General features: G+C 35.5%; 1 protein-coding gene across 20 annotated transcripts in view, besides 2 other annotated features; it reads left to right on the top strand.

Moving 5' to 3' along the window:
* The window catches only part of FAM227B (family with sequence similarity 227 member B), a 293,849-nt gene that overhangs the window by 226,089 nt on the left and 50,639 nt on the right, over nt 1–17,121 (top strand). The window lies entirely within an intron of this gene.
* Nucleotides 14,146–14,670: an enhancer, noted in NCBI's record as "H3K27ac-H3K4me1 hESC enhancer chr15:49672257-49672781 (GRCh37/hg19 assembly coordinates)". NCBI's record gives its function as "activates a minimal SCP1, AML or CMV promoter by ChIP-STARR-seq in primed H9 embryonic stem cells {active_cell/tissue: H9 hESC(primed)}" and the evidence as "EXISTENCE:reporter gene assay evidence [ECO:0000049][PMID:30033119]".
* Nucleotides 14,671–15,196: an enhancer, noted in NCBI's record as "H3K27ac-H3K4me1 hESC enhancer chr15:49671731-49672256 (GRCh37/hg19 assembly coordinates)". NCBI's record gives its function as "activates a minimal SCP1, AML or CMV promoter by ChIP-STARR-seq in primed H9 embryonic stem cells {active_cell/tissue: H9 hESC(primed)}" and the evidence as "EXISTENCE:reporter gene assay evidence [ECO:0000049][PMID:30033119]".

The raw sequence follows: 17,121 nt of genomic DNA, 5'->3' as shown, positions 1-17,121 counted from the left end.
TAAACATGGCTAATCATTATAGTTATTTATTTGCACTCACCTTCAACTCTTTTGCAATTCTTCCTTTTCAGTTCACTGAAAAAGCCGCAAACCTAATTAAAGATAATTCTCCACACCTGAATTTGTGCAGCTAACTGTATACAGAAATTATACAACCATGCCGAATAGTCTCATTTTAAATTCATAATTATATAACTCAAATCGGCCTTAATTCTGTCAGACAATCCTACTGCATTCCCTATTACTTTATTTCTCCCATGCACCTAGACAACTACTTCCACCTTTATTTCTCTTCAACTCTCCAGCACTACCTCCCCATCTTCAATCTCAGATGGTGACTTTGTTTTCTACTTCAATTAGAAATTTAAAGCAATGAGAACCTCCACAAATTCCCACCACCACATCTACCCAATTACCAGCACTATGTACCATATTCTCTGCTTTCCCTTTTTTGCTCCTACCTAAGGTCAGCTTTTCCTAGCATTTCACAAATATATCTTCATTTACTCCTCCAATTATCCTATGAACTGGTGTTGATGGTATCATTTTACAGCTGGGGGGAAAGCTTCAAAGTCAAATCATTAGAGAAGGACTGTTCTAGCTCTGTGTTCTCTATCCCCTTGTTACTCAAAGGTGATTCCACAGATCAGTATCATCACCAATACCTGTGATGTTATTGGGCCCCAGACCTAATTAATCCAAAAAAGGGATGCATTTTAAAAAGATTCTCAAGTGTTTCTTATGCTGTTTGACATTTAAAGAACACTCCTGTATACCAGTCTGTCCTTCCCCATGCACATTCCACTATAGTATAGTGGCACCAATTATTTAAAAAATAAAATTGGTTCTTAGATTATGTTTTACTAGAACTCAGTCCTTCTCCAAGGTACTAATTCAAGCCCTCCATAAATTCTGTTTGTTTCTTGCAAATGAAGTTTCTGATGGTGTTCCTTCTTTTGGTGTGATTGATTTGATTAAGTTTGGATTCAGTTAGTCGCAGTAGTCAGGGTAGGAGCTTGGTGGTAGCCAGATCAAAGAATTTGGAATGACCAGCCTTGTAAGAGCCAATCCTTATTGTATTCATTCATTTTAACTGTTAATTTCTCATTCACTGAGAAAGGACTTGGTTTAATTAACAACAGAACAAAATTTTGCAGATTTGATCTTGGTATATGGACTTATTTTAAGGCATATTGTTAGTGGTGAAGATTGGGAACCCACCTGTGGAAAAAATTTGAGAGCCTATAATTTATTTTTTAAAATAATGGAATTAAATTTTAGTTTTTTGTTCAGTGCAGAAGTCTGACTTACAGTAAACATTCCGATGGAAATATTTTAGTGAAAGGGTAGGGAACTGACACTACGTCATTAAGACTTCTGCTAGCATTTTTCCCATTAGAGCACAATGGCTCCAAACAAAGAGGAAATGATATGGGTGAACCACAGCACCCTCCATTTACACTAAGAGGAAAACACATTGAACTCTCATGAAAGTTTTCTCTCTTTCACATTTGAGCCCTCTCCCCACATTTTGAAAGAAACCTGCATTTCAAATAAAGTGTACATACACTGACCTCACTCACCAAAACATAAATTTTGTTATCACTTTGATTGCATTATTTCAAGGTTTTAAATGTTTAAATTAAAAATACTCCACTTTATACTTCTACAGTAACAGGTAACTATGTACTCCTTTGCTCCTCTTTTCTTCATGATTTTCATAGTGGTAGGATTGGTCCATTCCTGTTGCTATTACAAAAAACTACACTCAGTTAACAAAAAGTTTCAAGCAAGCCCTTGGCAAACATTTCAAAATTCTCTCTTCCAATTCAAAATCTTCCAATAGACTATCATGTTACCTTTCTCCATTACAAATAATCTGTGGGGAAATTAAGTCTATGACCATTTGAAATAATTAGGCTCATTAAGAGCTTATGACTTAAGGGGTAAAGCCACATCACTCATGTCATTCATTAAGCAACTATAATATTTAAATGAACTTATAATTACCCACCAGTTATTTCAATCATCCTCAAAGATTTGAGTTCAACGCATTATTTCTTGACAGATGCATTTTTAAAAGCTTCTTACACTTGGATAACCACTCCATCTTAATGTCCTTTGCTCTTTGTCTTCTTCACGTTCTTAAAGTAAGGACACTCAGGGTGGTCTGTTCATTGTCTTGCCTTGTTACTCAACCTCACTTTTATATACACTCCACTGCCTGAATTCATTTTCCATGTTTGAACCCATGCAAATCTAATCAGTTTTTAAGTAAGACTTCACTGACTACCTCATTGCACAGTCTCTTTTGCATCCTCATCGCACAGACATCTTTTGCAGGTCCTTCCCCATGCACATTCCACTGTAGTATAGTGGCACCAATTATTTAAAAAATAAAATTGATTCTTAGATTATGTTTTACTAGAACTCAATCCTTCTCCAAGGTACTAATTCAAGCCCTCCATAAATTCTGTTAGTTTCTTGCAAATGAAGTTTCTGATGGTGTTCAGTTCACAGTCTCTTTTGCATCCTAGAAGTTTCATTTCTGATGCAATATATTTGCCCCTTTATCTCATATTAAATTTATAATAGATGTTGAATTTTTCCACAAGTATGACCTGTAATATGTTTTATCATCTCATTTGGTCATAATTGACTGTTAAAGGCTGTATTCTTTACTTGTCTTGAAACTTGCAGTGTTTTTCTCGTTGTCTACTGTTACTAAACCACATGTGGGTCTGCTTGCCTGGCACAGTAAAGCCAAATACCCACACCAACGTTTGCAGTAAGAGTAAGGAGGGCATTTATTTGCAGGGTGCCAAGCAAGGAGAATTGGGCAGCTAATCCTTAAGAGCTGGCCTCCCCAATGGCCTATAAGCAAGGGCTCTTAAAAGCAGAGACACCTCTTTTTAGGAAAGCAGAAGTTACAGTCAAAATTGTAAATCAATACTTGGAGGTTATATTAATACATTGGTTTGGCCCAAAATGGCAGGCTATCTTGAAGTGGGGGCTCACAGGTCATAGGTGGATTCAGAGATTCTTTGATTTGCAATTGCTTAAGGAAGTCAAGGCTTTGTTTAAAAACTTGGGGTCATCAGAAGGGAATGTTGAGGTTTGACCTGTGGGCATTACTCTCTCCAGGCCCGTCAGGAAAAAATTTAGAACAAAGAAGAGCAATCAGATTTCATATTCCCTTTATCTGAAGTCTGTGTGACTGTGGTTGGCCTTTTCCATCTGATGGGGGTCTGGGTTTCTGAAAAACAACTCAGGGACATGTGTCATCTTTAGTTTCTATAGGGAACCAAACATCTTGTCCTTCTTGCTTATTGAGTTGCTGATTTACTTCTCGAGGCTAGCTATATGCCTGGAATTTCTCTTGAAGGGACTCAAGCCTTTTCCCTTATTTTCATGCTTGAGGTGTCCCAGCAGGCCCCTAAGAGGGGTCTCTGTTCTGTCTTACTACAAGAGATATTTCTTAAAGAAATGTGTGAATAAATGAATAAATGGCAAATAGCTGATTTAGGCTGGAGAAATATTTGTGGTTTTTTTCCTGCTTAATAGAGGTAGATTAATTTGATCTATCTCCTCATGTCTTAATTCATATAATCTAAAATAAAGGACATAATTTGAATATAAATTAAATTTTTTGAAACTCCTCACTTTTACAAATGAAAAAGTTGAGACCCAATTGGAAAGTGAGTTGCCGGAAACTACATATGTAGTCTGAAAAATTTAAACTAGAACTAGTCCTGAATCTTCATCCCATGGTCTTCCTAAGGACAGTTCTTTCCAATGGAGATACCAGGTTAATAGCAGTGTCTCGGTTGTTAGGCTGTTTCAAGGAAGGGATAACTGAAAGGTATGGCAAAGCACATAGGTCAGTTCATACTGGTTGTCACATGTTTAAAGTTTTTGTTAGTATTAAAAGAATGGACAGTATATTTGTATATGTATTTAATTATGTATATGCCCATTTTTTCACATAAGGTTTATTTTACATAGCTGTACATAAACATGTTGAATACAACAGCATAAAATAACATTTTAAATAAGCAGATAAGGAAAAGAGGATTCAAAAAGTGAGATAGGAGGGAGGATAAAAGCCTGAAATGAGGTTAGAATGTGAAATTCTGTTGAAAAACCTTTTACTTTTGCTAGACTTGGCCCATGAATTAGATTGGCTCTGAGCATTCTGTCTGTCAAGGCAGAGTAAATGACAATGCCACTTTGGATAATTGGGAAGTATCCAAAAACAAAACAATGTGCACATCAAGTACACCTATTCCTTATACTAAGAACAAATAGTATTTTTTTCTTGTGGATCCCTATATCAAACAGGATAGACAGAATTATGCTATAGTGACAAACATTAGTAAAATCTTAGTGGCTTATGCTGACAAAGGCTTATTTTTCACTCACACTGTGTGTCCATTGCATATAAGATGGGGTCTCTATCTACCACAGTAACTCATACATACAAGCCAAAGGAGACTTCATCTCATTTATAATCAGTGCAGCAGGTGGAAGAGAATTGGGTGGCCCGTATAGTGGTTCTTAAAGCTTCCACTCGGAAAAGACACATTTCATTTGAGCTCAAATTTCTTCATTTCATTTCCCAGAGCAAGCCCCGTGTTCATACTTATCTTCAATGAACTTAAAGACAGTTTGCAGTCCAACCTTGTGCCTTGGAAGGATGAAAAGGTGAATATTTCTGAACAGCCCAACTGATTACCACACTCTCCATAGAGAAGCACTGCGTAAAGTAATGAGTTATGTTGACATAGAAAATACGGCCAGAACTGAGTCTATGACATTGCACGATGTTGACCAAGGGCATAAAGACAAGGCAAAAGCTGGTAAAAATGGTTCTACCAGTGGCTAGGAAAAATCAGTTCTGATACATAGCTCTTTATTGGTCTACCTTAATTCAGGAATTGTTTCAGCTTTCCTAAAGAAAGGGATAAAAGTTACTCCTAAATATATATTCTCTCAACAAAGCTTTTATATGTATGAACTAATAGTGAGTTTGCATTTATATCCCTTAAGAAATAATATTAATAACAATACTTTTTTCTTCTTTTTAAAAATTCAATAGCTTTTGAGGTACAATGGTTTTTTTTTTACATGGATGGATGAATTACATAGTGCTGAATTCTGAGATTTTAGTGCACCCATCACCCAAGTAGCATACATTTTACCTAATGTGTAGTTTTGTATCTCTAGCCCTCCTCTCACCCTCCCGGCTCTGAGTCTCTAAAATCTATTATATCACTCTGTATGCCTTTGCATACTGGTAGCTTAGCTCCCACTTAAAAGTGAGAACATATGGTTTTCAGTTTTCCACTCCTGTGTTACTTCACTTAGAATAATGGCCTCCAGCTCCATCTAAGTTGCTGCAAAAGAGGTAATTTCCTTTGAATGGCTGAGTAGTCCATGGTGTGTATGTGCCACATTTTCTTTATCCCATCATTAGTTGATGGGTACTTAGGTTGGTTCTACATCTTTGCAATTGTGAATTGTGCTGCTATAAACATACATGGGCAAGTGTCTTTTTCATATAATGACTTCTTTCTTTGGGTAGATACCCCACAGTGGGATTGCTGGATCAAATGGTAGTTCTATATTTAATTCCTCAAGGGACCTTCATTACAGTTTTCCATAGAGGTTGTACTAATTTACATTCCCACCAATAGTGAATAAGTGTTCCCTTTTTCCCACATCCATGCCAACCTCTATTGTTTTTTGACTTTTTATTAATAATGGCCATTCTTTCAGAATTCATTGTGATATCTCATTGTGGTTTTAATTTGCACTTCCCTGGTGATTACTGATGTTGAGGACTTTTTCATATATTTATTGACCATTTGTATATCTTCTTTTAAGAAATGTCTATTCATGTCCTTTGCCCACTTTTTAATGGAATTATTTGTATTTTTTCTTGGTAATTTGTTTGAGTTCCTTGTACATTCTGGATACTAGTCCTTTTTCGGATGTGTAGTTTGCAAATATTTTCTCCCATTCTGTGGGTTTTCTGTTTACTCTGTCAATTATTTCTTTTGTTGTGCAGAAGGTTTTTAGTTTAATTAGGTCTCATTTGTTTATTTTTGTTTTTGTTATATTTGCTTTTGGGATCTTTGTTATAAATTCTTTGCCTAGGTCAGTGTCTAGAAGAGTTTTTCCAACGTTGTCTTCTAGAATTTGTATAGTTTCAGGTCCTATATTTGACTCATTGATTCATCTTGAGTTGATTTTTGTATAAGGTGAGAGATAGGAATCCAGTTTCATTCTTCAATGTGTGGCTTGGCAGTTTTCCTAGCACCATTTAATGTAATAAATGATATCAATTCCCTAACTTATATTTTTGTGTACTTTATTGAAGGTCAGTTGGCTGTAAGTATTTGGCTTGATTTCTGGGTTCTCTATTCTGTTCCTTTGGTCTAGGTGCCCACTTTTGTATCAGTATCATGCTGTTTTAGTAACTGCAGGCTTATAGTATAATTTGAAGTCCGGTAATGTGATGCCTCCAAATTTGTTCTTTTTGCGTAGGATTTCTATGGCTATTTGGGCTCTTTTTTGGTTCCATATGAATTTTAGGATTGTTCTTTCTAATTTTGTGAAAAACAATGTTGGTATTTTCATGGGAATTGTATTAAATCTGTAGATTCCTTTGGGCAGTATGATCATTTGCACAATATTGATTCTTCCAATCCATGAGCATGAAATGTGTTTTCATTTGTTTCTGTCATCTATAATTTCTTTCAGCAGTGTCTTGTAGTCCTCCTTGTAGAGATCTTTCACCTCCATAGTTAAATATATTCGTAGGTATTTTATTTATTTTTTCCTTTTTGCAGCTCTTATAAAAGAGATCACGTTCTTGATCTGATTCTCAGCTTGATGCTATACATCAACAATGATATTGTTGTACATTGACTTTGAAACCTGAGACTTTACTGAATTCGTTTATTAAATCTAAGAGTCTTTTGGAGGAGTACTTAGGATGTTCTAGGTACACAGTCATATCATCTGCAAACAGTGATAGTTGGACTTCCTCTTTTCCAGTTTCAATGTCCCTTATTTCTTTCTCTTGCCTGATTGGTCTGGATAGCACTTGCAGAACTATGTTGAACAGGAGTGGTGAAAGTGATCATCTTTGTCTTGTTTCTGTTCTCAGGGGAAATGCTTACAACTTTTCCCCATTCAGTAAGATGTTGGCTATGGGTTTGTCATATATGGATTTTATTATTTTGATATAGGTGCCTTCTATGCCTGGTTCTTATAAAGGGATGCTGTAGTTTATCAAATGCTTTTTCTGCATCTATTGGGATAATAATATAGTTTTTGTTTTTAATTCTGTTTATGTGATGTATTACACTTACTGACTTGCGTATATTAAACCATCCCAGCATCCCTGGGATGAAACCCACTTGACCATGATGAATTACCTTTTTGATATCCTGTGGGATTTGTTTAGCTAGTATTTTGGGGGGGATTTTTGAATCTATGTTCATAAGGAAAATTGATCGGTAGTTTTCTTTTTTTGTTGTGTCTTTTCCTGGATTTGGTATCAGAATGATACTAGCTTCATAGAATGATTTAGGGAGGATTCCTTCCTTCTCAATCTTTTGGAATAGTTTCAGTAGGATTAGTACCAATTCTTTGAATGTCTGATAGAATTCAGGTGTGAATCCATCTGGTCCTGGGCTTTTATTTTGTTGACAATTTTTAAATTACTGATTCAATCTCACTGCTTCTTATTAGTCTTTTCAAGGTTTCTATTCCTGATTTAATCTAGGAGGATTGTATGTTTCCAGGAATTCATCCATTTCCTCTAGGTTTTCTAGTTTGTGCACATAAAGGTGTTCATAATAGTCTTGAATGATTGTTTCTGTAATTCTGTGGTGTTGGTTGTAATGTCTCCAGTTTCATTTCTAATTGAGCTTATTTGGATCTTCCCTCTTCTTGGTTAATCTAGCTAATGGTCTATCAGTTTTGTTTATTTTTTTCAAAGAACCAGCTTTTTGTTTCATTGATCTTTTGTATTGTTTTGTTTGTTTGAATTTTATTTAGTTCTGCTCTGATCTGTGTTATTTCTTTTCTTCTAGCTTCAGGTTTAGTCTGTTCTCGTTTCTCTAGTTCCTTGAGGTGTGACATTAGGTCATCAATTTGGGCACTTTCAGACTTCTTGATGTAGGCATTTAGCACTATAAACTTTCCTCTAAGCACTGCTTTTGCTGTATTCCAGAGGTTTTGATAACTTGGGTCATTATCATCATTCAATTCAAATAATTTTTAAATTTCCATCTTGATTTCATTGTTAACCCAGATATCAGTCAGAAGCAGCTTATTTAATTTCCATGTATTTGTATAGTTTTGAGGGTTCCTTTTGGAGTTGATTTCTAGCTTTATTCCACTGTGGCCTGAGAAGATACTTGATATAATTTTGATTTTTTTTTTTAATTTATTGAGATTTGTTTTATGGCCTATTATATGGTCTGTCTTGGAGAATGTTCCACGTGCTCATGAGAAGAATGTGTATTCTGGAAATCTTGGGTAGCATGATCTGTAAATATCTTTAAGTTCATTTGTTCTAGCATGTCATTTAAGTCCACTGTTCCTCTGTTGACTTTCTGTGTTGAAGATCTGCTAGTGCTGTCAGTGGCACACTGAAGTCTCCCACTATTATTGTTTTGCTGTCAATCTCATTTCTTAGGTCTAATAGTGATTGTTTTATAAATGTAGATGCTTCAGTGTTTGGTACATATAAATTTAGGATTGTAATCTCTTCTTGTTGAATTGATCCTTTTATCAATATAATAGGGACTGTCTTTCTTTTTTTAGTGTTGTTGCTTTGAAGTCTGTTTTGTCTGATAAAAGAATAGCTACTCCTGCTCACTTTTGGTTTCCATTTGCATGGAATACCTTTTTACACACTTTTACCTTGAGTTTATTTGAATCTTTCCATGTTAGGTGAGTCTCTTGAAGTAGATATTTCTATTGTGATTTTTTTATCCATTCTGCCATTCTGTATCTTTTAAGTGGAGTATTTAGGCCTTTTACAGTCAACATTAATATTGAGATGTAAGGTGCTGTTCTCTTCATCATGTTATTACCTAGTTTTTTTTTTTTTCATTGTGTTACTGTTTTATAGACCCAGTGAGTTTTAAGCTTTCAAGAGGTTCTATTTTGGTGCGTATTGGGCTTTTGTTTTAAGGCTTAGAACCCCTTTTATTAATAACAATATTGATTACCATTTATACAACCTTTACAATATGCCAGACACTGTGTTTTTGCATATATATTCTCATTTTATCCACTTACCAAGTTTATAAGGTAATTATTATAATCTCCAAATTATGTTTGAGGAAACAGGCTTAAAGGAATTAATTTGCCTAAGGTCACTTAATCAACAAATGGCAAAGCTGGCATTTAAATTTGTGTCCGTCTGACTCCAAAGCCTATGTGCTTAACTAATATACTACTCTGCATCAGAAATGCAGGTTAAGGTTACATGAATGTACTTTAAACAATTGGTCAAGATGGAGTTAGATCCACTCTCCTAATAAATAGGAGAGGAGAAAACCTGCCCTGATAAGAAACCTTGCCAAACCTTTCTCCAAACCTCCAAAACCCTTGAGTGACATTGTCTTAGGAGATACCTTCAGAGAAGACTCAAATGCTATTAGAGCACGTTTTACAGGAAGAGCAAGGTCCTGAAATTCTCTGCCATTGGTGGGCCATTCACTTTGAATATAATTGAAATGTTTTTCATGGAAAAAAACTGGAGCCATGGTCTGAAAAACAGAATAGTATGTATTGAATCATACATATAAAATATTGTTCCAATAAATGTCCCAATCAATTAAAAATCTTGTCAAAGTAATTATAAAGAACATATAAAACACAGCAAGAAAATAAGATAAGGAGAAATATTTAAGGGAATTATTAATACTTTAGTACATATTGTTGTCATTTTAAATCTTGGATCTATAATCTTAACTATTACTAGTCACAGCAGAACAGTTTATAAGGCATTTTTGTGCCACAGCTTATTTATACTTTGAGTAGCAGAATGAAAACAATGCCAATCTGGTATAATATGACTGTTTAATTCTGTTGGTAGGAAAGTCACACACACAAGAATGTTTTCCAATTCCTTGAAATTCCCAAGTGATCAACAACTAAGAGGATCGCTGTGTTCCTGTGGCACTTCCCTATTGTTTTTATGCTATAGAGCTATTATGTTGCATTGCAGCTACCTAAGAATACATCTGAGACTCGTCCCCACCCCATCCCCACAGACAGTGAGCCCTGTCTTCATCCTTGTATTCCAGGCATTGAGCATAATTAACACTCAGTAGGCACTTTTGTAATGAATGAATATGGATAGAATGAGTGATAATATATAGCAGTTTTTGCTACTAGTGCTCAAAGAGTAAAATACCCTTGAGAAATTGAGGAGTTCATACAAGTTTCTTAGTCAAAGTTTTTTTGGTTGTAACACAAATCGGCTTGAACTGTGTAATGGATGTTAAAATGAGGCTGTTTCTGTTCTAGTTTCTTCTGAATTCTTAAAGGCTGATGACATTAATAGGTACATCCTAAAGAGAAGTCCTACCTTGCAGGATATTAACCCACCTTGAACCTATAAAACATGGCAAAGAGGAATGTTGAGGAATCAAGAGAATTCCTTAGGAGGACAGAAGTAACTTTGGAATACTTTTTCCCTCAGTCCCAGTGAGGAACACATTGGGATGTTAAAACAAGAAACAGAAGCTGCTGGCTCCTCATTCAAAGCCAGGTGTCTCCTGTATTTGGGGGGAGAATGACAAATGGTAGAGAAAACTATGGCCCATCATTAGCACGTGAGATTATGAGTCTCAACAACCTGGCACATTATCTTTTTCTTTGTTTGTCTTTAAATAGCATATCAGCATTTCTTTGATTGCTTTAGTTTCTGGTGAAATTAAAAAATTATTTGCCAATCGTATTCCTTTTTTATAACTTACTTCTTATGTCCGTCATCTGTTATCTACTGAGGTTTTTGTTTCATCTGTCATTCTGTTAGAAATATTTTTTGCCAGTTTTCATTTTGTGGGACTGTACTTTTTGCCTAGCAGGACTTTTGAATTTTTACATAATAAAATATAGGCATACCTCAGAGATATTGCAGGCTTTGTGTAAGACCATTGCAATAAAACAAATATTGCAACAAAGTGAGTCATACAAATGTTTTGGTTTCCCAGTGTATATAAAAGTTATGTTTATACTATATTGTAGTCTCTTAAGGGTATAATAGCATTTTGTCTAATAAAAAGTGCATACCTTAATTTAAAAATAGTTTACTGCTAAAAAATGCTGACACAGAGACAGGAAGTGAACACAGGTGTTGGAAAAATGGCAACAACAGACTTGCTCTACACAGAGTTCCGTGAACATTCCATTTGTAAAAAAGCAATATCTGTGAAGTACAATAAAGTGCAGTTAAACAAGATATGCCTGTATATTAATGTTTTACTGTGTAATCTCATCTTTTGTAGACTTCTCCACCACCTATACATATATTTTTTCTAGTTTATATATTGTTCTGCTTTTTTTAATCCAGATTTAATTTTCCAATCCATCAACTGTTTATTCTTTGTTAGGGAGCTAAGATTACACAAGAATGGAACACCTCAAAATGTTTATGCACGACAGCACAAAGTAGGAAAAAAAGACAAGGAGATTGAAGTAAATGTTAAATGAACCGATTTACATTTCTACCACAATGAGAACTTAAACCTTGCTTCTGAGTTTAATGGCTTTTTAAAATTGTACTCAGCATCTACCTATGATTGTTGCTTTTTAAAAGGTTGTGAATTTCATTCTCATTATGGTAAAGATATTCTCAAAACCTTTATCAGCTACCCATAGAGTCTTTTCTTTATAAGGCCTCCATAAAAAAGGAGAGCTCCATCTTACCCTAGTAACAAGAATAGCTAGCTGGGAATCTTCACAGTGATTGTTCTTTTTTATCTCATAGACACTGTGAAGAGTGTAATGAATAAGATGTCCTTGTTTATTAAGTTAGCTGTTAAAAACAATATGCATTTTGAGAATGATTCCTGGCCCATTTTGTTGCCACTTCTGCTTTTCTCTGTCCTTTCATTACACTTAAATTGCATGCTACTTTTGCAGTATTTAGGTACCTTTGTAAGTGGACAAGTCATTTCTACATGAATATGGGGAGAATAAGAAAAAAAGGGAAAGAAATTTCATTTCAATATGTGGTGTGGTAGAGATCAAATTTACTTTTTCCTAAACAGTTAACATTTGCCTTATTTCTTTTTATTCAATGATTCATCTTTTCTTAATGATTAGGAACGTCACATTTGCTAAATAGTAAACGCATTAATATTTGCTTGAAACTATAAATTATGTTACTCTTCCCTAATGATTGCAATACCTAATTTTATGTCCACACCATATTATTTCAATCATTATTGTTTTATACATTTTAATATCTGACAGTATAATTCTTCTATCATGACTTTTTTCACTACTTCCTGCATATTGTACCTATACTAAAATTTTTAATTTGCACTTTAGAATAAGTTTGCCCTGTTCCCCTCCCCACCAAACAATCATATATAGATTGTTTAGAATTGTATTTAATATTTATAATTTATTTGGGGGAGAACTTATACCTTCATAATTTTTATTCTATACATTTAGAAATATCATGTGTATCTTTAGTTTGTAATGTTCTGCATCTAGGTCCTAAACATTTCTTAAATAATTTCTTCCTACATATTTCACATATTTTAAAATTAGGCATGAGATTTTAAAATATTTTATTGTCTAACTGGTCAACTGCTGACATTTATAACAGTGATAAATTTTTATGTATTTGTAATTTGCAACTAAACTCTCCTACTTAACAATGCTTATTAAAATGATTATCTTGTGTTTGCTTGGAAGACCATAATATCACGTGTAAAAACAAAAAACAATTAGTGTTGTCTTCCTCATTCTAATATTTACACCTCTTATTTATTTTTATTGGCTTACTGCATTGGTTAGGATTTACAGAGCAGTGTTAAATAACAGTTGTGATGGTGGGAATATCTACTAAAATTTCAGCTACTGGCAAATACAAAGTACCTTATAAATATCACTGAAGCAAGTAAAGAGTTAATATTTTACATAACAAAAAATAATTTTTACATGAGAAGAAATATAAAGGTAGCTATTACTTCTCATGGATGTCACCAAGGAACCATGTTTCTTATGTCCTCCTGCTTCAGCATCCTTAGCATGTTACTTTTATATTGTCACAAGATAATTGCTGTATCTCCTGGCATTCCAGCCACACAGGACAAAAGAGAAAGGACACCAGGCATATAGTAAGCCTTTTCTTTATCAGGTTTTGCCTTTTTATTTAGGAAATAAAACCTTCCCCAGGGGTGATATGATTTGGATATGTGTGCCCTCCAAATCTAATGTTGAGATATAATCCCCAGTGTTGGAGATGGGCCTAGAGGGAGATACTTGGACCAGGAGGCGGGGGCAGATCCTTCATGAATGGCTTACCACCATCCCTGTGGTGATGAGTGAGCTGTTGCTCTGAGTTCCTGTGAGATCAGTTGATCAGTTGTTTAAAAATGCATGACACCTCCCCTCCCCCTTGCTCTTGCTTCGTTTCTCACCAGATGACACATGGGCTCCTCCTTTGCCTTTTACCACGATTGTAATCTCCCTGAGGCGTGCACCAGAAGCAGATGCTGGCACTATGTTTCTTGTACATCCCGCAGAACCATAATCCAATTAAACCTATTTTCTTTATTAGTTACCCAGCCTCAGGTGTTTCTTTACAGCAATGCAAGAATGGACTAACACAAGGGGCTTCTGCCGACATTTCATTGACCACAGCTGTGTCACAAGGGGCCAATTAAATCAAATCAAATCCAATTCAGAGGAGTTAAGTAGCTCAAGTGTTTAGCTTGAGTAGAAAAAAATAAAGGGCAGAAAAAAAATAAAGTAGAAAAAAAAGTAAAGGACTTTGAAGTGGATGTTAAATGAGCCAATTTACATAACTACCATAGAAAGAATCCAAACTTTGTCCCTGATTTTAATGGCATGCATCAAATTATTCTGCATTTAAGTAATATTTTGAATTTTTATTTCAAGATGATTTCTTTAGCATGTTAGAGACATAACCTTCTTTTATGGGTTTACTTAGTGTTTCATTTGGAATGAATATTACATTTTATTAAATATATTTTTTTTTAATCAACGCAAAACTCCTGCTTGAGAAAAGCAGAGGGAAAGGTAAAGAGGACTTTGTCTTCACCTTAGGTACCAGCAAAGCCATGGCAGGGCAGAGCACCACGTGGGCTCTTGGGGTCCCCAGTTCCAGGATTTGACTCTTGGACAGCATTTCTGGACCTGCCCTTGGACAGAGGGGAGCACGCCGCCCTGAAGGGTGAGGCCCAGGCCAGGCAGCATTCACCACAAACTGACTGAAGAGCTTGTGGGCCTTAAGGGAACTTAGGTAGTAGTCTGGCAGTACTCCCCATGGCCTGGGGTGTCAGTGGCTATGGGGTGAGGCGCCTCTGCCTTTGGAAAGGGGAAGAAAGAGAGGTCCTGTGGTTTGAGTGCCAGCTCAGCTGTAATACAATAGAATACCAGTTAGACTTCTAAGGTTTTTGACACTAGTTCCTGACTCCTGGATGGCACCTCTGGACCCACCCAGGGCCTGGGGTACCTCAACACCCTGAAGGGTAGGAAATAGGCCAGGATGGCTTTGCCACCAGCTGATTGTAAAGCCCTGGGGCCTTGAGCAAACATAGGCAGTAGCCAGGGAGTGGTTACAGCCGGCCTTGAGCAAGACCCAGTGCTGTGCCGGCTTCAGGTCTGACCCAGTACAATCATAGTGGTGGTGGCCACAGTGGTACATGTGTCACTCCAGCTCCAGCTTCAGGTGGCTCAGAATGGAGAAAGAAACCCTGTTTGGGAGAAAGTAAGGGGTGAGAAAAGAGTCTCTACCTTGTAATCCAGAGGATTCTGCTGGATTATGTCTAAAATCATCCAAATACAAATAAATAAAATTAGAAATGAAAAAGGAAGCAATACAACTGATACCACAGAAACTGAAAGGATCATCAGTGGCTACTGTGAGCAAATATATGGCAATACATTGGAAAATCAAATTTCTAGACACATACAACCTACCAAGATTGAACCATAAATAAATCCAAAACCTCAACAGATGAATAACAAATATTGAGATCAAAGTCCTAACAAAAAGTCTCCTGGTAAAGAAAAGCCCAGGATCTCATAGCTGAATTCTAGCAAACATTTAAAGAACTAACACCAATCCTACTCAAAATCAAAAACTAGAGAAGGAGGGAATACTTCCAAATTTACTCTACAAGGCCAGTATTACCCTGATACCAAAACCAGATAAAGACACATCAAAAAAAGAAAACTACAGACCAATATCTCTGATTAATATTGATGTGAAAACCCTGAAGAAAACACTAGCAAACAATACATTAGAAATTAAACAATACATTAGAAAGATTATTCATCAGATCCAAGTGGGATTTATTCCAGGGATGCAGGGATGGTTCAACATATGCAAATCGATCAATGTAATACATCATATCAACAAAATGAAAGATAAAAATGATATGATCCTTTCAATTGATGCTGAAAAAGCATTTGATAAAGTTTAACATCCCTTCAAGATAAAAACCCTCAAAAAACTGGGAATAGCAGGAACATACCTCAACATAATAAAAGCCATATACAACAGACCCACATCTAGTATTATATTGAGTGAGGAAAAACTAAAAGCTCTAAGATCTAGAGCATGACATTGATGCCCACTTTCACCTCTGTTATTCAACATAGTACTGGAAGTCCTAGCTAGAGCAATCAGACAAGAGAAAGAAATAAAGGGCATCCAAATTGGAAAGGAAGAAGTCAAATGATTGTTATCTGCAGATGAGTTTATCTTATATTTGGAAAAACCTAAAGACTCCACAAGAAAGCTATTAGAACTGATAAATTCAGTAAAGCTTCAGGATACAAAATCAACAAACAAAAATCAGTAGCACATCTATATGCCAACGGTGAACAATCTGAATAAGAAATCTTAAAAGTAACCCATTTACAATAGTCACACATAAAATTAAATACCTAGGAATTATCAAAGAAGTGAAGGAACTCTATAATGAAAACTATAAAACACTGATGAAATACATTGAAGAGGACATCAAAAAATAGAAATATTGGAAAAATATTCAATGTTCACAGATTGGAATAATCAATATTGTTAACATGTTCATACTAACCAAAGCAATCTACAGATTCAATGCTATCCCTATCAAAATACCAATGATATTCTTTACAGAAATAGAAAAAAAAAATCCTAAAAGAACACCAAGAAAAACCAAAGCTATCCTAAGCAAAAAGAGCAAAACTAGAGGAACCAAAACAGCATGGTACTGGCATAAAAACAGACACACAGACCAATGGAACAGAATATAGAACCCAGAAACAAACCCACACACCTACAGTGAACTCATTTTTAACAAAAGTGCCAAGAACATACATTAGGGAAAAGACAGTCTCTTCAACAAGTGATGCTGAGAAAACTAGATCTCCATATTCAGAAGACTGAAACTACACCGCTATCTCTTGTCATAGACAAAATGAAATCAAAATGAAATAAAGACTTACATCTGAAACTTCAAACTACAAAACTACTGCAAGAAAACATCAGGGAAACTCTCCAGGACATTGGTCTAAGTGACATTTTTTTGAGCAACACCCCACAAACACAGACAATCAAAGGCAACATTGACAGATGTGATCACATCAAGTTAAAAAGCTTCTGTACAGCAGAGGATACAATCAACAAAGTGAAGAGACAACCCACAGAATGGCAGAAAATATTTGCAAACTACTTATCTGACAAGGGATTAATAACCAGGGTATATAAGGAGCTCAAGTAACTCTATGGGAAAAGAATTGAATAATCTAGTCAACAAATGAGCAAAAGGCTTGAATAGACATTTCTCAAAAGAAGACGTACAAATGGCAAACAGGCATATGAAAAAGTGCTCAACATTA

This window comes from Homo sapiens, chromosome 15 (genome assembly GCF_000001405.40).
Source record: "Homo sapiens chromosome 15, GRCh38.p14 Primary Assembly".
Classification (NCBI taxonomy): Eukaryota; Metazoa; Chordata; class Mammalia; order Primates; family Hominidae; genus Homo; species Homo sapiens.
The sequence above is the reverse complement of the archived record's forward strand: the minus strand, read 5'-3'. Positions and strand labels throughout refer to the sequence as shown.